The 23,458-nt window shown below is 41.2% G+C and overlaps 1 long non-coding RNA gene across 1 annotated transcript; it reads right to left on the reverse strand.

Moving 5' to 3' along the window:
* Positions 1 to 366: 366 nt before the first annotated feature.
* LINC02102 (long intergenic non-protein coding RNA 2102) lies at positions 367 to 21,753 on the reverse strand. Its single transcript, NR_103771.1, has 3 exons — positions 19,150 to 21,753; positions 16,600 to 16,751; positions 367 to 974 (listed from the first exon to the last, which is right to left on the reverse strand). It is a non-coding gene; the product is annotated as a long intergenic non-protein coding RNA 2102 (long non-coding RNA).
* Positions 21,754 to 23,458: the final 1,705 nt, after the last annotated feature.

Raw genomic sequence — 23,458 nt, forward strand, 5'->3', positions numbered from 1 at the left:
AAAGCCAATGAGCCAGTACCCACAAAAACAAATGTGCAATTAGAATCCAATTCATGCACGTGTGAACCTCATGGGGCACAGTGCTGGGAGGGACGGGGGGCCAAAGAAGGCCTCTCCAAGAAGGTGACATCATAGCAAAGGTGAGGCAGGGCAGGTGAGAAAGGTGGGAAGGAGCCAATCCCTCCAGGGCTTCCAGACAGGAAATAATAGCCTGGTGCTCCAGGCAGGAGGAGCCTGGCCTTCTGGAGGCATTGACAGTGCTCCAAAGTTGAGGGTGGGAGAGGAAGCCACACCAGATCAGCGGGACCACTGTAAGGGGTCTGGGTCAAGCTAGATGGAAATGAAGGGAGGACTCGGTACAGTTTTAACCCATAAGTTTTTCTTACTTTCCTGGTACATATTTGCTATTATGTTTGGCAGAGTTGGGCACCTGGAATGTTCTCTTGGTCAAGTAATTTTGATGAGAGTTCCTTTCTGTCCTCAAGGTCAGCCAGATATGCTCCCTCTTCCCATTATCCCCAACAGGTCTGCTGAACAAGTGCACTCAACTGCCTGGGTGCAAGTTTTCCCATGACATCAAATGTCTAGCTTGTGAGGGCTGCACTGTCTTGCAGGTGCTTCTATTTCTTGCTCTCAGCAGTACTGTAGCGGGGCCTGTATCTTGATAGAGGCAAGGAAACCTGCGTCCTGGGGCTCAGTGGTTCTTGACACTGGCTTTCCGGTAGGATCACCATGGACACTAGAATGTTTCTGTAAAGGCCGGGGCCCCCACTCAAACCTGCCTTTCTGGGCTGTCCTGGCCCCAACTGCCTTGTTCAGGTTTTCAGGCATCCAAAGAGAAGAGTCAAGGTCAACCAACATTTATGCCGGCAGATGATCAGATTTCTCTTAGGAGAGTAGACATTTTCTTTTCTTTCCTGTAAGTCCCGAATTATAAGCTGAAAGTTGTTCCCTGCTGCTCACACACAGCCCCTCTGAAAAGCAGAAAAACTTTCTGAGGTTTGAGCGAGGTGTTTTAACACCATGGACAGCGCCCCTGGTTCTTCGACCCGGATGCGCTTCCTAATAAAACGGCATTCCAGGTTCTAGAAAGCATTTCGGTAAAACAGGCTCAGAAACACCAGATTCAAGAGAATAACCATTATATGTGAATACATTTAAAAATAGATCACACACTCTAACAACTGAAATGTACAGAAAAGATGAAAGTGCATCCGTTAACGTTTAAATGCCCATTTCTACTGATGGCATTCATCTGCACGCTCGCACAGCGGAGCAGCTAACCTTTAGGACAGCGCCCGGGGCAGAGCCAGCTCGGAGCCAGCGCTGCACAGCTGTGAGGGGCCGGCTTTAGGCTCACACCGCCTGTATCTGAAACGCTGGGACGGGTATTTAACCCCCTGAACCTCGTTCCTCTTGCCTGTGAAATGTGGATGCTCCAGCGGGAGTTTCTGAAGATTGGCAGCTTGGCATGTAAAGGCCTTAGCAGAAAGCTGCCCTTGGTTTTAGGACCACTTAAATACCCAATCAGGTTTCCCTTCACCACTTTCATTAAAGCTTTTTAAAAAATATGATGCTTCTTCAATGGAGCTATTTCCTCCTTCTCCCCACACCCAAAATACAAACAAAAACACACCCACCCGCACACATTCGCACATGCACTCACACATTCACAAGCATTCACACACACTCATATCTATGCTCAATATCACTCACACTCAGTCACACCCACCTGCACACTCTCATACTCCCGACGCACATATTCATGCATACGTGTACACACACATTCACTCACGCACCCTCACACACGCACAGCAGGCTCAGATGAATAGGAGATGTCCCTCCAGCTCTCCCACATCTCAGGGATTACGCTCAGAGCTCCTGGCACTGACGTTTGGAAAATCTGAGAGACCTCTGCCTCTAGACCACATTATTATATTATTCATTTTATATTTCTTCTATATTTTTGAGTTTTATGTTTTTTATTAGAAAAAAACATTTTATTAGCTGGGGGAGGGGGGAGAGAGAGAGAGAGAGAGATTTAAATACTTCTCCTGACTTCAAATCTCTCACCTCTGAGATAGCTGCTGGTTTGTTTATGTAGTTATTCCCAACTGTGGTCAACTGAAAAATAGCCCCAAATATGTCATTGTCCTAATCTCTGGCACCTGTGATTGTGACCTTACATGGCAAAAGAAATTTTGCAGCTATGATTAAATTAAGGACCTCGAGATTGGGGATTACTTTGGATTTTCCAGGAGGACCCGGTGTCGTCTCAAGGGTCCTTTAAGAGGGAGGCAGGCAGGTTGGAGAGGAGAAGGCCACGTGATGCTGGACGCAGAGGACTAAGTGATGTGCTGTGAAGAGGGAGGAACAGGCCACAAGCCAAGGAATACAGGCCACACTGGAAGCTAAAAAAGGCAAGGAAAGGGACCCTCTCTTTAGAACCTTCAGAAGAAAGCAGCCCTACCAACACCTTCACTTTAGCCCAGTGAAACTCATTCTGGACTTCTGACCTCCAGAACTATAATGTAATAAATTTATGTGGTTTTAAGTCACTAAGTTTGAGGTAATTTTTTACAGCAGCAATAGAAAATTAATACACCAAATGTTCTCTATACTCTGTGTGTGTGTGTGTGTGTGTGTGTGTGTGTGTGTGTGTGTGTACTTCACTTTTTTGGCCAAATGAAATTATATAAAGTATGTATTTTTAAAAACTTGATCAGGAGGCTGAGGCAGGAGAATGGCATGAACCCGGGAGGCGGTGCTTGCAGTGAGCCAAGATCGCGCAACTGCACTCCAGCCTGGGCGACGGAGCAAGACTCCATGTAAAAAAAAAAGATTGATATCAATAATTCCTATAACATTATCTTTTTTAAAAGTTTTATGGTAATCCTTTGTATGGGTGAACATATTGTATTTAGTCTATTATCAACATATGCATACTTATTATCTTTGCATTTCCACTACTAGAAATGATCAATGAATACTCATATCCATGTCGCTTTGGCCACATATGGCTGTGTTTCTGTAGGATAGACCCTCAGCGGTAGAAGGATGTCTAGGTTTCATAGACACTGTCGAATGCACTTCACACACAAGATGCTACCCACATCTTAGCAACAATAGATAACATCAACCTTTGCCCACTTTTTTCTACTGGAAATGTTCATTTTTTTCTTATTGATTTGATATAGATCTTTATATATTAAATATATTGCTTATATGTTGGATAAGTTGCAAATATTTTCTCTCTTTGTGTTTGTCTTTTAACTTTTTCCTTTCAGCAAGAAAATGTGCTCAGTTTTTATGTCTTAGAAGTAGGAAAGGCTTTTTTAAACCCAAAAGTCTATCAGAAAAAGATTGCCTAATAAATACCCTCTTATAATTACATCTAAACTTTGTAGTTTCACTTTAAAATATCTAATCTTTAATACATCTGAAATTTGGGTGTGCATTGGGAAATAGATATACAACTTTATTTTTTTTTTCTTAAAGAAAAGCCAATCATTTGTATTTTCCTCAGGTATTTGAAATACTACCTCTTTTCATCTACTAGGATCCACAGCTATCTGGGTCTGTTTTAGTGTTCTCTGTGTGCTTATTAATTTACTATATATGAAGCCAGGCACGGTGGCTCACGACTTGGTAGGCTGAGGCAGGTGGCTCACCTAAGGTCAGGAGTTCGAGACCAGACTGTCCAACACGGTGAAACCCCATCTCTACTAAAAATACAAATTAGCTGGGCATGGTGGCACATGCCTGTAATCCCAGCTACTCAGGAGGCTAGGGTGGAGAATCGCTTGAACCTGGGAGGTGGAGGTTGCAGTGAGCTGAGATTGTGCCATTGCACTCCAGCCTGGGCGATAAGAGAAAAACTCCATCTCAATATAATCATGATGACAATAATAATAATTTACTAGATATAAGATCCTGGGAATACAACATTCTTACAGTATTTTTGGATCTCTAGAAGGTAAACTCTTCCCTAATTATTTTTTTTTATTTTTAAAACTTTTTGACTCTTTTAATACACTTATTCTATTATTTTATGTTTTTAGTTTATTTCACTTTAATTTTTAGTCAATGGAAGCAGCCAAAACAACCCATAACAGACTCTGCCAATGTGTACTGAATACTCAAGTTTTCAGCAGAATGAGTTACATGAAAATGTGCTCCTACTGGCTGAGACAAAGCAAAAGCCAGCACTGAGAAAGACAAAGTTGTAGACAAGGCTGGGAGCGAGCACAAGACTGTTAGAATACAAAGAACAAAATTATTCTCAAAAGAGAAGATTTGGAATGTAAAATAAAATAACAGTGCAATTAAATAACTGCATATGAGATGCCAGATTCTGTTAAACATGTGGAGAAGTGGCAAAGAGAAGACAATTAAAATCATTGTGGAGTATGTGTGTGTGCGTGCAGGTATACAACGGGCAATTGGGTGGATTGGGGCACTAGGTGGTAAATTTTTAAAAGCATTTAAATGTTAACTCTGAAAATTAAGGAAGACACTTATATTTAAAAATCACCAATATAACCATTTCTAGAATTAAAAGCCAAGATGTATAACTTCAAAGTAGTAGAGAATATAAAGTGCCTCCTCAACACGCAAAATAATTAATTACAAGACAAAGGTTGAAACAATAAGGAAGTGGAAGATAAATCCAAAGAACAAGATAATAGAAGCAAGCAAAAATGTATCAATAAGATTTTTAAAAAATAGATGGTACAAATATCCATGTAAGAAAGAAAACTTTCAGAAAGTTCCCTAAGACAAAGCACAAGCAAGTGGCTGGGAGCAGTGGCTCATGCCTGTAATCCCAGCATTTTGGGAGGCTGAGGCAGGAGGATTGCTTGAGTCCAGGAGTTTGAGACTGGTCTGGGTAACATGGCAAGACCCATCTCTACAAAAGCAAACAAACAAAGAAACACCACACACACACACACACACACACACACACACACACACACAGGCAAGTGCCATTTATGAGTCATGCCTACAAAAAACTGATACTAACAGGCTGGAAGTTGAAGGGACAGAGGTCTACAATTTTGTTCTTTTAATTCACGATTCTCTTGGCTAATCTTAGCATTTTGCATTTCTATATGCATTTTAGAATCAGCTTGCTAATTTCCACAATAATAATGTGGGAATTTTACTTAGGACTGCATTTAACCCATAGATCAATTTGAGGGAATTGTGGCGCCTGTAATCCCAGGTACTCAGGAGGCTGAGGCAGGAGAATCACTTGAACTCAGGAGGCAGAGGTTGCAGTGACCCGAGATCATGTCACTGAACTCCAGCCTGGGCAACAGATTGCAATATTGGGTTTTCCAATCCATGGAGATGACATATTCCTCCATTTATGTAAATATTATTTAATTTCTCTAAAGAGTTTTGCAGTTTTCAGTGTAAAAGTCCTATACATCTTTTCATAATCTATTTGTAGGTATTTTATTTTATGATATTGTAAATAATATATTTTTAAAAATCCATTTTCTACTTATTTATTGTTAGTATGCAGAAATACAATTGATTGTTTTGTGTACTGACTTTGTATTCTGTACCCTTGCTAAATTTGCTTATTGATTTGAATACTGTGTAGACTTCTTTGGATTATCTATGTACACAATTATGTTATCAGCAAATAATGAGTTTTATTTATTTCTTTATAATTCTTTTGCCTTTATTTATTCATTTTTCTTGGCTTATCCCACTGGATAGGACCTCCAATACAAGGGTGAATAGAAGTGTGATAATTGATATCTGTGTCTCATTTCCAATTTCATGAGAAAAAGTTTTCATATTTTATCATTAACAGGTTTACTTTGGTTTTTTTGCTAATTTTTAAATTAAATTACAGACGTACCATGCTATTTCTGATTTCCATTAGTTTTTTGTGTTTTCTTTTTAATCACAAATAGGTGTTAAATCTTATTTTTAAAACTTTTCTGTATCTACATAGATGATCATATATTTTTCTCCTTTTTATGTTAATGTAGAAATTACATAGATTGACTTTCAAATATTAAACCCACCTTATATTGTCATAAATTCACATTAGACCTGATGTATCATCATTTTTATATATCGCTAGATTTAGCTTATATTTTATTTAGGATTTTTGCATCGATAGTCCTAAAAGAGATTGGCCCATAATTTTCCTTTCTTGTAACATACTTGACAGATTTTGGTTCAAGGTTACACTGGCTTCAAATGTGACTTGGAAGCTGCCTCTTCTTCTTCATTCTCTGAAAGAGTTTGTGTAAGATTGATGGCTGTAGGATGTACAGTAATTTCCCTTTCTCTATTCCTGATGTTGGTTATATATAGTCTTCCTTTTTTCTTTTTCTTGATCAATTTTATTGTATGTGTGTATTCATTTTCAAAGAATGAGCATTTTTTGCTTTATTGATTATCTGTATTGTACATTTGCCTTCTATTTCATTGATTGCTGCCCTTGTTTTTTATTGCATTCTTTCTTCTATTTTTATTTATTTATTTTATATTTTTTGAGACAGAGTCTTGCACTGTCGCCTGGGCTGGAGTGCAGTGGCTTGATCTGGGCTCACTGCAATCTCCGCCCCCCAGTTTCAAGCAATTCTCGTGCCTCAGCCTCCCGAGCAGCTGGGATTACAGGCGCCCACCACCATGCCTAAGTAATTTTTTTTGTATTTTTAGTAGAGACGGGGTTTCACCATGTTGGCCAGGCTGGTCTCCAACTCCTAACCTTGTGATTCGCCCGCCTTGGACTCCCAAAGTGCTGAGATTACAGGCATGTGCCATCACGCCCAGCCTCTTCTATTTTTAAAAATTTGTTATTCTTTTTCCAGTTTCTTGAGGTTATGATAAAAACTAAGATTGACTTTTGGTCATTTTTTTTTTCATTGTAATATATGAATTTCAGGTTGTGCATTTTTATTTTAAGAATGGCTGTTTTAGTCCATTCTCACACTGCTATGAAGAAATATTTGAGACTGAGTAATTTATAAAGAAAAAAAGTTTAATTGACTCACAGTTCTGCATGGCTGGGGAGGCCTCAGGAAACTTACAATCATGGCAGAAAGCCCCTCTTCATAGGGCAGCAGGAGAGAGAAATGAGTACCAGCAGGGGAAATACCAGAAGCTTATAAAACCATCAGATCTCATGAGACTCCCTCACTATCATGAGAACAGTACGGGGGAAACCACCCCCATGATTCAATTACCTCTCACTAGGTGCTTCCCACAACACATGAGGATTGTGGGAACTACAACTCAAGAGGAGATTTGGGTGGGGACACAACCAAACCTTATCAATGGCTTAAAATCTTTGCCAGGTTTTCATATGTCATATTGTCTTTATCACTCAGTTCCAAATATTCTCTAATATTCTTTCTGATATCTTCTTTCACCCATAGGTTATTAGAACTGTATAGCTTAATTTTCAAACTAGTAGGGATTTTCCAGTTTCTTTTTTCCCAAGCTAACTTTCTGAGAAAATTATCTTCATTATTTAAATTTTTTGAAATTTTGGGAGCTTGATTTACTGACCAGCTATAATCAATTCTGGTAAATGTTTCACATGCAATTAAAAAGAATGTGTATACTATGGATTTAGAGTGCAGTATTCTATAAATGATAATTAGGCCAACCTTGCTAATTGTGTTATTCAAATTATCTGCTTTGAAATAAATGTGTTAAAATCTACCATTATGGTTGTGAATTTATTCACTTGTTCTTCATATTTTGTTAGTTTTGCTCTACATATATTTTGAAGTTCTGTTATTAGATTGATGCAGATTAAAATTTATGATATCTTCCTAGTGAACTGACCCCATTATCATTTTCAAATGTTTATCTTTAGTAACACTTCTTGCCTTAAAGTCAACTCTGTCTGATATTAGTATAAATATACTAGCTTTCTATGCCTGTAATCCCAGCACTTTGGGAGGCCAAGGTGGGTAGATCACTTGATTCCAGGAGTTCTACACCAGGATGGACAACATGGCAAAACCCCTTTTCTACGAAAAATACAAAAAATTAGTGGAGTGTAGTGGTGCATGCCTGTGGTCCAGCTACTTGAGAGGCTGAGGGTGGAGGATTGCATGAGCCTGGGAGGCAGAGGTTGTAGTGACCTGAGATTGCACCACTGCACTCCAGCCTGGATGACACAGTGAGAACTTGTCTCAAAAAAAAAAAAAAAAAAAAAAAAAAAATATATATATATATATATATATATATATATATATGTACATTTATACTAGCTTTGGTTTGGTTTTCCTGGCTTACCTTTTCTCATCATTTTACATTCAATCTTTTTGTGTCCTGATATTTAAATTATTATCTCTTGGAAGCAGCATATAGCTGGTTTTAATAGCCTCAACTGACGATCTTAAATCTTTTTCTTGGAGCATTTAGACCATTTATGTTTAACATAATTACTGATATAGTTATGTTTATATCTACCATGTTACTATTTTCTTTCTGTTTGATTCACCTGCTTTGTGTTCCTTTTTCATCCTTTCATGACTTCTTTTACATTAATCAAATATTTGTATCATTTTATTTTCCCTAAGGTAACATGCCAGCTGCTATATAAACTTGAAATCGCTGATGAAATAGACATTTTGTTGTAAAGGTGCAAATAATTCAAATGGATTTTTTAAGAACTAGAACACCAGAAAGGGCTCTTGAAAATTTAAAATTTATCAAAAATCTGTCTTCAATGTTGGGATGGCCAGATAATTCTTACAAATAATCATGATGATACCTTTAAAAACAAATGCCATGATTTAAACTACAGGAGTATCACAGAAGTGAAACTTTTAATATTACTGTATATTGTCTAGCAGTATAGTCTAGTAATAATATAGCATGCCTAAACAGATTTTATTGCTTGAATGTGAATGTGATTTAACATAAATGAACCCTCTCTATAATTCGTGAATGAATAAAAAGGTCAGGAGAGAAAGGCTAGGATATTTTGATAAATATAAAAAAGGTACTTGAGAGTATTTCTTTCTGAATTTTAAAAAGCTTCTAGAACTAGGGATAGAATATCATTTTCTTAATAACATAGTAACCCACTGGAACCAGCAACTAAAGAATATTTAATAATTAAAGAATATAATTATTTTCATTAAAATCAAGAACAACAGAAAATGCCTACTATTACTCATATGGTTCATCATTGATTTGCATTTGCATTGTCTAATGATTTTAGATAATGCAATAAGATAAGAAAAATATGAAGCTGCATACTGCAAAGTAGGAAATGATACTATCTGTCTTTACAGATGATTTGATTGTCTATCTGAAAAATCCAAGGGAATCAATTGATTAACACTACTTTAATTGATAACAAACTCTAATTGGATGGTTGGTTAGCAATCCAAGACACAGAAATCAATATTTTTCCAACATAGCAGCAATAACTTGAAAAGCTAAAAAAACTACATATTTTCATTTAAAAATATGTAAATACTAGCAATAAACTTAAAAAATGCGCAGAGTCACTGCAAAGTAATTAACGCTTTACTTCAAGACATAAAATTTTTGAATAAGACAGCATTCTTCTGGATTGGAGACGTGTATTCTTTTTTTTGAATTATAGAACCACAAAATTTACGTAATAAAATATGATTTGAAGCCTCTCTCATGCTCACGCTCATCGGCAACTTCACATACTTTTAGTTGTACATTTACATCTAAACACAAACATATAGCTTTCATAAAAATAGAATCATACTGAATATGCTATTCCCCAGGTTGCTTTCCATTCAAGAACACATTTAGGAGTTCTTTTTACGGTAGTATAGTTATATCTCATTTTTAACTCCTACATAGGATTTCATAGTATGGATATGCATGATTTATTTACATATTTCCTTTCTAATGGATTGTTTATAATCTTTTAATTTATTAAAGCTATTTACATATTATAGATATCAAACCTATGTCTATTTATTTTTTGAATTTATTTTGTGTTTTAACTTTAAATTTTTAATTTCAACAGCTTTAAGAATCCAAGTGGTTTGGGGTTACATGGATGAATTGTATAGTGGTGAAGTCTGAGATTTTATTGTACCCATCACCCAAGTAGTGTATGTTGTACCTTATAGGTAGTTTTCTATCCCTCACGCTTACCCACCCTCCCCACTTCTGAGTCTTCAACATCCACTATACCACTCTGTATGCCTTTGCATACCCATAGCTCAGCTTCCACTTATAAGTGAGAACATGTGATATTTGGTTTTCCATTCCATTCCTGAGTTACTTCACATTGGATAATGGCCTGTAGTTCAATCCAAGTTGTTGAAAAAGACATTATTTCATTTTTTTACAGCTAAGTAGTATTTCATGAGATATATATATATGGTTATATATATGATATATATGGTTATATATATGATATATATATCGTGTATATATATGGTGTATATATACATATATTTTCTATATCCATTCATTGTATGATGGGCACTTAGGTTGATTCCACATCTTTGCAATTGTGAATTGTGCTTTGATAAACATACATGTCCAGTTGTCTTTTTGATTTAATGACTTCTTTTCCTTCGGGTAGATACACAATAGAGGGATTGCTGGGTTGAATGGTAGATTTACTTTTAGTTCTTTGAGAAATCTCCAAACTGTTTTCCATAGAGAATGTGTTAATTTACATCCCCACTAGCAATGTATGAATGTTCACTTTTCATCACATCCATTCCAACATCTATTGTTTTTTGACTTTTTAATAATGGCCATTCTGGTTGGGGTAAGGTGGTATCTCACTCTAGTTTGAATTTGTATTTCCCTGATGATTAGTGATGTTGAGCATTTTTTCATATATTTGTTGGCTGCATGAATGTCTTCTTTTGAGAATTGTCTACTCATGGCACTTGTTCACTTCTTAATAAGATTATATTTTTTCTTGCTGATTTGTTTGAGTTCTTGTAGATTCTGGATATTAGTTCTTTGTCAGAGCCATACGTTGCAAATATTTTCTCCCATTGTGTAGGTTGTCTGTTTGCTTTGTTATTTCTTTTGTTGTGGAGAAGCTTTTTAGTTTAATTACATCCCATTTATTTATTTTTGTTTTTGTTGCATTTGCTTTTGGGATCTTAGTCTTAAATTCTTTGCCCAGGCCAATGTCCAGAAGAATTTTTTCTAGGTTTTCTTCTAGAATTTTTTTATGGTTTCAGGTCTTAGATTTAAGTCTTCAATCCTTTTAGAGTTAATTTTTGTATATGGTGAGAGACAGAGATCCAGCTTCATTCTTCTACATGTGGCTATCCGATTTTCCCGGCATCATTTATTGAATAGGGTGTCCTTTCACCGGTTTATGTTTTTGTGTGCTTTGTCAAAGATCAATTGATTGTAAGTATCTGGCTTTATTTATGGTTCTTTATTCTGTTCCATGGGTCTATGTATCTACTTTTATACCAATAACATGCTGTTTTGGTTACTACAGCCCTTGTTGTATAATTTGAACTCAGGTAATATGACGCCTCCAAATTTGCTCTTTTCATTTAGCATTGTTTTGGATATTCAGGCTCTTTTTTAGTTTCATGTGAATTTTAGGATTGTTTTTCTAATTCTATGAAAAATGATGTTGGTATATTAATAGGAATTGCATGGAATCTGTAGATTGCTTTGGGCGGTATGGCCATTTTCACAATATTGATTTTTCTAATCTATAAGCATGCGATGTACTTCTATTTATTTGTACCATCTATTATTTCTTTTAGCAGTATTTTGTAGTTCTCCTTGTAGACATATTTCACCTTTGTGGTTAAGTATATTCCTAGCTTTTTTGTGGTTATTGTAAAAGGAATTGAGTTCTTAATTTCATTCTCAGCTTGGTCATTGTTGTTGTATAGCATTGCTATGGATTTCCCTACACTGATTTTATAACCTGAGAGTTTACTGAGTTTATTTATGAGATCTAGGAGTCTTTAGGGTTTTCTAGGTATATAATTATATCACCAACAAACAGATAGTTTTGATTTCCTCTTTTCCAATCGGAATGTCTTTTTGTTTCTTTCTTTTGCCTGATTGCTCTGGCTAGGACTTCCTGTATTAATTCTTCTATGTATTTAGCACAAGTTGATAAATTCCATTTATAGAATCTAAAAATGTAATATAATACATTTAAATTTATAGAACTCCGTTGGGGTTTTGTTCTTGAACTTACCAAAATTGTCCTGATTTATCTAGAACAATACATTTGCTTGAATATACAAGATTTTTTCAGTAAAATAACATTTAATTTTGGAGGAGAAGTATCCTCTTACTAGATAGTAAACATCAATTTACAGTCTAATAAGCAAAACAATATTTTTTTCGTCAACAAATAAATAGACCAATCACTGGAACTCAATAGAAACTTTAGAAATGTACTCAAGTTTCTGTAAGAATTTATGATATCATAATCTCAATAACTGGAGAAATAGTATATTGGAATGCATTATCATTTAGAAAAAAATAAATTTCCTATCTTATGTCTTACACAAAATAAATTCAAAATGCATTAAAGTTTTGTTTTGCTTTTTTTCCTCTAGAGACAAGGTCTCGCTCTATTGCCCAGGCTGGAGTACAGCAGTGTGATCATAGTTCACTGCAGTCTCAAACTCCTCAAGCAATCTCCCACTTCAGCCTCTGGAACAGCTGGAACTACAAGTGCATGCCACCACATCTGGCTAATTTTTTAATTTTTATTTTGTAAAGACGCAGTCTCGCTATGTTGCCCAGGCTGGTCTTGAACTCCTGGACTCAAGTGATCCTCCTGCCTCAGCCTCCCAAAGTGCTGAGATTACAGGCATGAGCCACTGCACCTAGCCTGAATTAACGCTTTAAATGTGAAATGTAAAGGCAGATGGTGAATATATGTATTTGATTGGGTAAGGAAATTCTAAGCATGACTCACAGTCAGAAAAAGTACTCTATGAATATTTTTCCCCTTCACAGTGGTTGGTCATTATTCCTAAAATATTATACTAACCCACTGAACCACTGCTTTATGTCTCATGATCCACTAGTTGGAAATTTTTTTGTCTTCACATCTTTCTTGCATAAAAAACTTACATATTTAGAAGATTTATCCAGTAATGGGCTTTACATTTACCATAAATATCATTTTTTTCTCCCATGAAATTATAGGTCACATTTTAGACATCAGGAGACTTTCAGTCCTAAGAAGTTACAATTTGAAATTAAACTTATCTAGTTTTTAAAAACTTCTAAGCTAGCAGGATATAAATAATGTGCTAGTGTTGGCAATAACTGTTCATAGCTGTTTCAAAAATTTGAATTCTGGAAATGAATTCCCTCAGCAGCATGTTTTGTTTGCTTCAGGCATTTTGCAAATACAATACTTTCAGAACACAGCTTTCTATCTCCCCCATGAAGTAATTTGAGAACCACCTTTATGGTTTGTCATTTTATTGTTTAGACTTGAAATGGATTCATCTGTCTTACTAGTTAAGCCTTTAACTAATAATATAATTACAGCATTTATGCATGTATTTCTTATGACACTCCAATCTTCACAAACTCCTCCTTAGGAATTAGTGTAAAAGAAAGAGGTGAAATTTCTCCCATCTCCCTCCAATAGCTGTGTGCCTTCTGGCAAACACATGCTATGATCTGTGTCTCTAAAATATGCTGAGTGCTTTGTCCTGAAAAGAGTCCGCTTCTCTGGAAAAAAAAGTTAGCCAAGATCCCTCTCTAACTTTATGATGAAAAGTATCATTCCAGTTGAGAAGCACAAGTCCCATTCAAAAGGAATGGAAGTGAATTTTACAAAGATTATGTGATTGACCTGAAGAGGAAGACAAAGCAAATTGAATATATCTTCTTGTACCATACGTGACAATTTCTTTGAAGGTTTTAGGGCCATGAATATGACTTTCCTAATAAAGCAACCCTTTTCAATTTTTTTTTTTTCCTTTTGAGATAAGGTCTCACTCTGTCACCCAGGCTGGAGTGCAGTGGTGCAAACGCAGCTCACTGCAGCCTTCATCTCCCAGGCTCAGGCCATCCTCCCCAGTAGCTGGGATTACAGGTGCACACTACCGTGCCTGGCTAATTTTTAAAAATGTTTTGTAGAGACAGGGTTTTGCTATATTGCCCAGGCTGTCTCAACTTCCTGGCCTCAAGTGATCCTCCCGCTTCGGCCTCTCAAAGTGCTGGAATGAGCCACCACACCTAGCCAATCATCTTTTAATTTTTACTTAGTAACTGCTTACATTTTCAAGCAAATGTGAAAACCTAAGTCTTTTGTGCTCTACGTTGATCTCTTCCTGAATGTGGTTTGGCTCAGAGCTCAGCATGCTTGGCATTGACTCGGTTACTCCTTAAATATTTACCAGTCGTCAATACTTTTCTTGTCCTCCGCCTTACTCTTTTGCTGTTTGAAGCACTTGGAAGTGAATAATGTCTCTCTCAGTTTAGTTTGAGACTTTTGTGGAGCATTTCTGCCCTGTGATGCTGGGGATGCCTGTTGCAATGCCTGTTGCATTGCCCCTCCTGGGAAGCACAAAGGAGTGGAGAGGCAGGGGGGTGAATTCACACCACGCCAGCATGTGTTCACTGGGGGCTTCCTGTCTGCAGGCCACGGAGCTGGGTCCAGTGAAGGGCTCAGATTCCGGGGGGGTGGCAACGCTTCTGCTGGGACAAAGCCTCTAGTCCACCGGGGATGCTGAGCAAAAGGGTGAAAATTAAAAAGTGGAAGAGCTAACGTAATTCAAGGCAATAAGAAAAGCCCTATTATTCATTTTCACAATCACCACAGTAATTTTCACAATTGTTACAAATTTCTCTCTCCTACGTTCATTACTTTAAGGTTGATGCGGCCAGGAAAGCTTTACAGAGGTCTTGGTTGGATCTGGGTCTGGAAGGCTGGCACTGCGCCGGGAGAGGCAAAGGTGATGTTAGGGGAGTGTCCAGGAAACACTGCACCCTGAGGCACAGGTCAGAGACAAGGTAGCCCGAGGCTTGCACAGGGGCTATGGGCAAACCAGCTCTGGTAGCTTCCAGGCTTCAGCAAGTGGGTGAGTGGCTAAAAATCAGGCTGGTATGAAGATGAGGGTCTAGGATTAGGGAGGGTCAGCGGCTTTGTTTTTATTCAGTCAACAACTATGCATTGGACACAGCTGTCTGCCAGGCCCTTTGCTGAGCTTTTCCATACAAGAGTGGACAGAGTTGGCATCGTCACTGTCCCCAGGTACAGGCAGCTAACACAGGGACATAAGTGAGTAAACCTGCAATGAACTGACCATGTGTCAAAGGACCAGAGACACAAGAGAGGGCCTCCTCGAGGACAGCTGAGCCAGATTCCAGGGTTGACGGAAAGTTGGGGGCGGGGGGCTTGAGCGGCTCACGGACAGCTTTCCCAGACAGAGAGGGCAGTGCTCAGGCTCTGCAGCGTGGAAGCAGGCTGCAGCCGAGGGTCTGAAGGGGTTTGGGGTGGCCGGGGTAAGAGTGCCAGCAAGGTGGTGACAACACTAGAACCTAGAGGAGTAGAGAGTGGAATCATGACAAAAGGAACCCAATGGAGGTGTCCAGGCGGGGGCTGGGCCACTGACGGTAAGGTAGAGGCTGTGGAAAATGCCCCTGAATGAGAAACTGTTTGTGCAATGCACATGACAATTTGTGTCAATGGTGCATCTTTTCCGCTGTTTCCAGTCTCTAGAAACTCTTTTATTACAGAACAATTGAGAAGAACACAAAGGCAGCCTCCCTCCGAGGTGACTCACATTCTACCCGCTGCTCACTCTGTCAGTAACACTGACGTTTTTTTACACAGAATATTGAACACTTGCCCTGAAAATCTTGCCTTTGTGCCTGCTTTCAGGTACAGGAGTAACGCTGGGGCCGTGAGGGAGTCTGACCGTCAGTCCTGATTCTGGGCCCGTGACAGGAAGCGCCACGGGTCTGGGTTCCTGCCATCCATCGCTGGCCATGCACCCTGCACCCACCACACGGGAAGAACCACAGGTAGAGTCATTGAATAACTGAATATTCAACGCACAAGGAGATGTGTGTTGAAGAACCAAGAGGGAGCTGGCCACAAAGACAGGGCAAAATTTTTGACAGTGTTGAAATGTTTTTTTTCCTCTTGATTCTGGACATCCTGAAGTCACAATATCCAATGCTCTTTCAGCATTTTTATGATAAAAAGCAATCACCTTATTAGTGGCTGTGTTTAAAGCTAGCCAGACTGAGGCGGTAAACAGCACTGCATTTATTCGTGTAGGCGCTACGAACCTGAGCACCAACTGGGACCTCCATGCGTGGACTGGGCCATAGTGAGAGAGAGGCATGGGGCATAGTGCATGGGAGAGGTGTCCTTGGTCCAAGGATGAGTGAGATGGTATTAGAACCTCCCATTCCTGCTGCATCAAGACATCAAAAAAAGAAGAAAAATAGAGCCTCCCATTTATTCTCAAGTGTTCTGTCTGTCCTCTTAGTCAGAGGCTCACACATCCCACCCTCACCACGTGGCTTGCAGGGCTCCCTGGCATTGCGTTGGCCAATGGTATGGAATTTGGCATGACATTGCTATACCCAGCAGAATCTTGAGGGCAAATGTGTAGTTTCGCCATGTCTCACCTTCCTTTGCCATTGACTGAGATGGGTTGCTACTCCAGCCTGGGTGCCCAAACACGGAAGACAAGATGTGGGGTACTGCCTGGGAGGACAGCCACCACCAATGTGTGCCATGTCGTTCCTATGAAACGCTGAGGTCCTGGGGATGTCTGTTACTGCAGCATAAATGAGCAAGAGCTAACTAATAAAGAGATTAACATTTAAACATTAAAAAAACATGGAGTGGGCCAAACAAAGCACGCCCTGGGCCAGCATGCTCTTTGACACATGATGATTACTTCCCAGCTTCCAGAGAGGCGCATGGGATCTTCCGCAATGCTAGGCAGGCTGCCCCTTTCCTTTTCTTTTTCCTTTCCTTTTTCCTTTCCTTTCCTTTCCTTCCCCTCCTCCTCCCTCCCTCTCCCCTTCCCCTCTCACTCCCCTTCCCCTTCCCCCCCTCCTTCCTCCCCTCCCCGTCCCCTCTCTTTTTCCAGACAGGGCCTTATTCTGTTGCCCAGGCTGGAGTGCAGTGGCGCCATCATAACTCACCGCAGCCTTGACCTCCTGGGCCCAAATGATTCTCCCACTGCAGCCTCCTGAGCCTGGGATCATAGGCGTGCACCATCACACCTGACAATTTTTTTTTTCTTTTTTTAATAGAGACGGGGTCTTCCTATGTTGTCCAGGCTGGTCTCCAACTCCTGGGAAACATAGGAAGACCCCATCTCTATTAAAAAAAAAAAAAAAAAAAAGAAAGAAGAGGCCGGGCGCAGTGGCTCACGCCTGTAATCCCAGCACTTTGGGAGGCTGAGGTGGGCAGATTACCTGGGGTCAGGAGTTTTGAGACCAGCCTGGCCAGCATGGTGAAACCCCGTCTCTACTAAAAATACAAAAAAAATTAGTCAGGAGTGGTGGTATGCACCTGTAATCCCAGCTACTCAGGAGGCTGAGGCAGGAAAATCACTTGAACCCGGGAGGCAGGGTTGCAGTGAGCTGAGATTGCGCCACTGCACTCCAGCCTGGGTGACAGAGTGCGACTCTGTCTCAAAACAAACAAACAAACAAAAAAAATAAAAAAAGAAAAAAGTGACCCCCCATCTCAGCCTCTGTGCCTGGCCTAAGACAGGTTGCCAAGATCACTACCAGTATGCGCTGTCCTTTCTCAAGGTGTCTTCAAGGAGAAGTAAGTACACTGTGGACAGCCCCCTGGCAGTAACACATCTCCTGCAAGCCTCTTTGTGTAGGAGGATTTGTTCTCCTGGCCCCTCCTTCCAATACCAACATCTTGAACTACAATTGTAAACCAGAGTCCGGACCCAGGGTTGAGGTCCTCAAATACTCCTATGGAAGAGACCACGTTTTCCCAGCTGCATGGAGGCATTTCACAGCTAAAACCACTCTTCCAATTCAAAGAAGTAAATGAATAGACAACAGCTGTGAATAATGTCTTCTGTGTTTTTCCCTAAACATTGGTTTTGTGGTCATGTCTTCGCTGGTGTTGAAACACTTTTTCACAACCAATGATTATGTATGTGATTAAAACCTCGGAAATGGATTGCCTCGGTCATTCACTCGTTTTCAAGGATGCCACCACCATGTTTAGAATGTGGCTGTCCCATGCTTCTCCCCACCCTTGCCCCTGGCCTTTGTGCTTCTGTGCCCTTTGTGATTTTAGCCATCATCCGTGTAATGGCTAAAATTCAGAAGAAAACGGCTAAAATTCAGAAGGAAAGTAAAATTACAAGCAGCATTTTTCTCAACAAACAGCCCACTGGTGACCTCGTGAGGGCACCAGCCATCGCCTATGCCTGTCCTTCTGGTGGCACAGAATTCACTGGAAAGGTCTCGGCCAGCCAGGCTCTGTGTCCAGCCTCTGTCTGTGTCTCTAAGGGGGGCCTGCACCTCCCGGGCTGCCTGGCAGGGCCTGTGAGGCCTCACTGTCATGAGAAAAGAATCCACAGGTCTGTAAACTTGCTATTTTTAGGCCTCAGTGGACTTGCGCCAGTTTCCTGAGTGTAGTAATTACCCAGATATTTTATTGAATAGGGCCTTGAAAACTTACAACACACACCTCAAACCTACTCAGAAATTTAAAGAGGTTTAAAATGCCATGCAGCGAATTCTCAAAGACAAATGACAAGCCCACGTCTCCATCCACCTCCCCCCACACCCTCAGGCTGCTCTTACCCTGCTTCTCTGCGCTTTCCACACCCGTCCCCGCCCGGGTGAGCTCACCCCATGCAGCTCTGCTACATGCCAGCCAGGCAGGGCTTGCTCCGTGACGGCCCTTTCCAGACTGGCTTCTCTTCTAAATGCAAGCCTCTGTGTCCAACTGTCTCCTGGGGATGTACGAGGGACATCTCCAACCTAGCATTTCCTAAAGAGGGATGCTTCCTGCTCCACCCAGTGTCCCCCATCTCAGGAAATAAGACTTTCATCCATGGCTGAGGCCACCGACCCGAACGGATGCTTTGTTCACTCTTTGCCTCCCTCCCCACTAGCTCCCCATGGCTGGCTCTACTTCAAAATCCATGCTGCATCCAAATCAACGCTGCTCCCCATTCAACCCCTTACCTCCAGAATCTCCTGCGGGACTGCCATAGCCTCCTGAGCCCCTGTCCCAGTGGGTCCACTGCCCAGTACTGTTCCACACGGCATGTAATCTTCTAGAGTATGTCAATTTGACCTTGATTGCCTGACTCACCAATCTCCAAGTCTTCACCTTCTTACCATGGGGGAAGGAGAGCCTGGCCTGCGAAGAAGGCGCACAAGTCTGTGGGTGGTTTCCTTTCCGAGGCCCACGAGGTTGCACTTCCCTCTGGTTGTTAAGTGTGATGTATAGAAGATAATGACTCAAGTGCCTGGATTAGCAATTGTGGGGACTAGCAATGCCCCCAGCCTACCCTCAAAGTCCAGGCTTGAACAATAGAACAAAACAGACACCCAGAGGGTTTGGCAGGGAATAGAGAATGATTAGAGAGATAGAAAAATTAATTAGTTCATTACAGCTGGGAGCAGGAGAGCCATTCTCTTCCATTAATGGGAAAGTTGGAGCCTGAACCAAGAGCAGAAAGCATGGAGCAGAAGCCATGGACTGATTCTTCCTTCAGTTAGAGGAAGCAACAGGAGAAGCAGAAGACTGAAAGAAAACTCCAGCTTCTTCAAGAAACACGGAGAAGGAACAGTGGACGGGTAGGATGCACAGAATAGGTACACGGCGCTGGTCCCTCTTGTAAGCATCTCATGGACATGCCTGCTTTTCATCTTCACGTAATTCCAGGCATGAGTTACAGAAATTTTCCCCATTCTGAGGCCAGTAAGTTTAATCAGTTTGCCTGAGGCCACATAGCTAGGAAATGGCAGAATGATGGCAAAGTCAGGCAAATTCGTTCCACAGTCCCTGTTCTTAACAAAAACAGAAATCTAAATTTGAGAATGGGCTGTATGCCCTGTTGAAAGACTCTTAAAAGAGAGAGAAAATCCAGCAAACTTACCCTGAGATGGATGGTCTGGGTTTCTTCCCATTTCCTAGAACTGCTTACCCGTGTGGAGCCATGCTTACTAACCCGCTGCCCTTGATGCCAGTGAGGCTTGGTGCTGGGCTGCCAATGACCTCAGTTATGGGGCACGGCAAACTTGGTGACTTTAGCTGCAGGCAGAGTCTGGGGTGGCGGTGCCTGCAGTCTGGTGTGCTGTAATGTAAACACCCAGGAAGGCTTCTGGTTGTTGCTTTAGGCCTAAGGCAGGGAGCCGGGAGAAATAGAGAAGGGAAGGGGTCTTCATTAGATGAGAAAGGAATATTGAAAAGTGAGGATTTTTCTGTTTCACTTTCATTTTATTTGACCTTTTACATTGTAAATTATATTCATTTAAAAAATAAAGAAAAAGAAACATTTCTCCAATAAATGGAATGCAGGACACATGTTAATACGGGCAGTGAATGTTAAGCTACACAGCGATTTTAAAATGAATGCACCATCTTCCTTGCTCAGGCAGTGGCTCCTGCGGTCACCATCTAAGGCAACCTGTTCCGACCTCCCTGGTGGAAACCTGGAAGCTCTCTGAACTTTCCTCTCTCCTTCTTCCACGTTGAATCAATTACTGAGCCCCCAAAGATTTTACCTCCGAAACATGTTGTGGCAAAGTCAGTGTGCTGTGTTTGCCAGACCCAGTTCCTTTTTGTTCTGGGCTCTCAGCTGGACTATATAGTCCAGCCTCCCTCAAGTTAGATGGGGCCACATGTCTGAGTTCTGGCCACCAAAATATGCATGTGAGTGATGTGCTGGCCACCCCCCAGACCTGGACCCTAAACCTCCTGCAGGATGCTCCATCCTATTTCTTCCCCTCACCCCTTTGCTGGCCCTCTGCAGAGAACTAGCTGAAAACTCCAGGGCCCAAGGGAATGGCAGAACTTCTGCCTGAAAGAGCCAGGATTCCTGAATGACTGTGTGGAGCAGAGTTCTCCTTCCCCATACCCCAGGCCCCATGCAGGCCCACAGTGGACTGGGAAGTGAATAAGAAATAAACTCTTAACATGTGATGCCACTCTGATTTGAGATCGCTTCTTATAGCAACTACAATAACTGACCCTAATTTATTTTCTCCTAAATAATCCTTTGCATACCTAATACTGTGCCCATTACTGATTTTCTATTTCTCTCAAAAGGCCATCCCCCCAACCTTTACCTCCATCTTCAATCTTGGCCTCTCATAATTCCATCTGTTAAGACAAAGTGAACTTTTCTTAAAACGCATGTTAGACCATACCCCTCTTTGGGGTACATCTTTTAATGGTACCCCCAAAAGTGCTGACCATGGCACACCCTTCCTGTGCCTGGCTTTGGCCAACAGCCTCACATTGGATTTCTGCTGCCATGCTTGGCCCCTGGCCACTGAGAGCCCTGGGGAATTTCTGTCCTCAGGGCTGTGTCTCCAGACATTTCTCATCCTGGAATGTCCTTCCTCTGTTAGGCTAATACTCTGCATCTTCTAGGATCAGTCCAGCAACACCTCTAGGTTCCCTTGCCCTGTCTCCCACTAGTACCCTGCACATGTGTGTACATCACACACATCTCCGTTTATTGAGCTGAGAGCTTCTTTGGGCCCTCACTCAGAGACGGAATTTGTCACCTGTATGTGCTTGACGCTGGGGCCCAGCAACTACCCCTAGTCGTGACAATCCAAAGCGTCTCCAGACGTGGCCACATGTGCCCTGGGAGACACAGTCAGCTCTGGTTGACAATCCTGCTCTAGAGTGGTTGGAAAGAAGAGGCATTTCTTGTGGGTTGTATTCTCTTGGTGGGGCTACTCTATTCAAGGTCAAAAACTAGATTTCGTCAGAACATTCAAGCCTCTGTAGCAGGCCAAAAAGTGTCCTCCCAAAATTCACGTTCACCCAGAATCTCAGAACAAGACCTTGTTTGGAAACAGGGTCTTTGCAGGCTCTCAGAAACAGACTCGTATGGACTGAATTCAGAAGAGATTGCAGGTGGCAGACACTGGCAGGACATGAGACCCACTTCCTGCTTCTTTACTAACAGACCCAGTTTTTTTCAACATGGTCATAAGTCAAGCACAAACAATGGCTCACGATTGGTTTAGGTCATTCATGATCATTCTGTGTCTCATCATGTGTCTTAATTTCTCAGACTCTCTCGCAGTTGGGGTGGCCTTATAACTAGCTCTAATCAACAAGATTTGAGGACAAATCTAACGTGAGGTTTCTTGGAAAAAGTTTGCTTTTCTGATACAAAGGGTCACAGACAGCAGACACTGTCCTTCTTCCCCCACCTCCTTCCTGTGGACATGAGGGATGGACCCAGAGCAGCCTTTAGGTGAAGGCCAGGGGAATGTCAGACAGGTCAGCTCGGACATCCTGGGACACTGGGCCACCATGCCAATGGCCCTTTCTTGCTGGATTTCTTATTACGGGAGCAAAATAACTTTCTTGTTTTATTTAAGCCTCTGTAGTAGGTTGCAAAGTGGTCTTCCCAAAATTCTGGGTGAATTTTGGGAGGAGACTATGCAACCTCCTAGTGTCCACCCAGAATGTCAGAACAAGACCTTATTTGGAAATAGGGTCTTTGGAGGTATAATCAGTTAAGAATCTTCAGATGAAATCATCCTGGATTTAGAGTGGGCCCCAAATCCAATGACTGATGTCCTTACAAGAAGAGAAGGCATAGAGAGATACACAGGGGAGGATGTCATGTGATAACAGAAGTAGAGGTTAGCATAATTCATCCCCCATTCTCCCCCTTCCAGTGCCCCACACCGCTTGCAATATGATGCAGCTCCTTCCATCAAGAGGTGGAGGCTTCTTTCCCACTCCTTGACTTGTCAAGGCCTTGCCACTTGCTTTGTCTCACAGAATGGTAAGGAAGTGATGGCATGCCGGTTCTGAGCCTCATGCATGTCTGCTTGCACTCCTGAAACTCTGTTCAGCCACCTGAGAACAAGCCTGAGTCAGCCTGTTGGATAACAAGAGACTGATGGTCCTTGTCAACTCTGTCAACTCCAGTGCCCCAGCTGCCAGCCAGGCTACTCTAGCCCAGCCAGCCTTCAGCTGATTGGCCAGCTGAGTGGAGCAAGATCAGCTGTGTTTGACCCAGAGCAGCAAAACCACCTAGTTGATTTGTAGACTTGTGAGCAATACCAAACACTTATTTTAAGCCACTAAGCTTGGGGTGGCTTCTTACCCAGCAGTAGCTAATACCTACACACTTTCAGTTATTTGGCACCTGTGAGCAATTGAATTTGGGAACCCTGTTTTAGGTAGAGGTTTTCAGAGTTCACTGTGTTTTAGAATTACTCAGAAAATTTACTTAAAATAGAGATTCCTGGGCTTGCTCCTAGAGAGTTTCAGTAAATTGGGTGAGCTCTA

This window comes from Homo sapiens, chromosome 5 (assembly GCF_000001405.40).
Source record: "Homo sapiens chromosome 5, GRCh38.p14 Primary Assembly".
NCBI classification, from domain to species: Eukaryota; Metazoa; Chordata; class Mammalia; order Primates; family Hominidae; genus Homo; species Homo sapiens.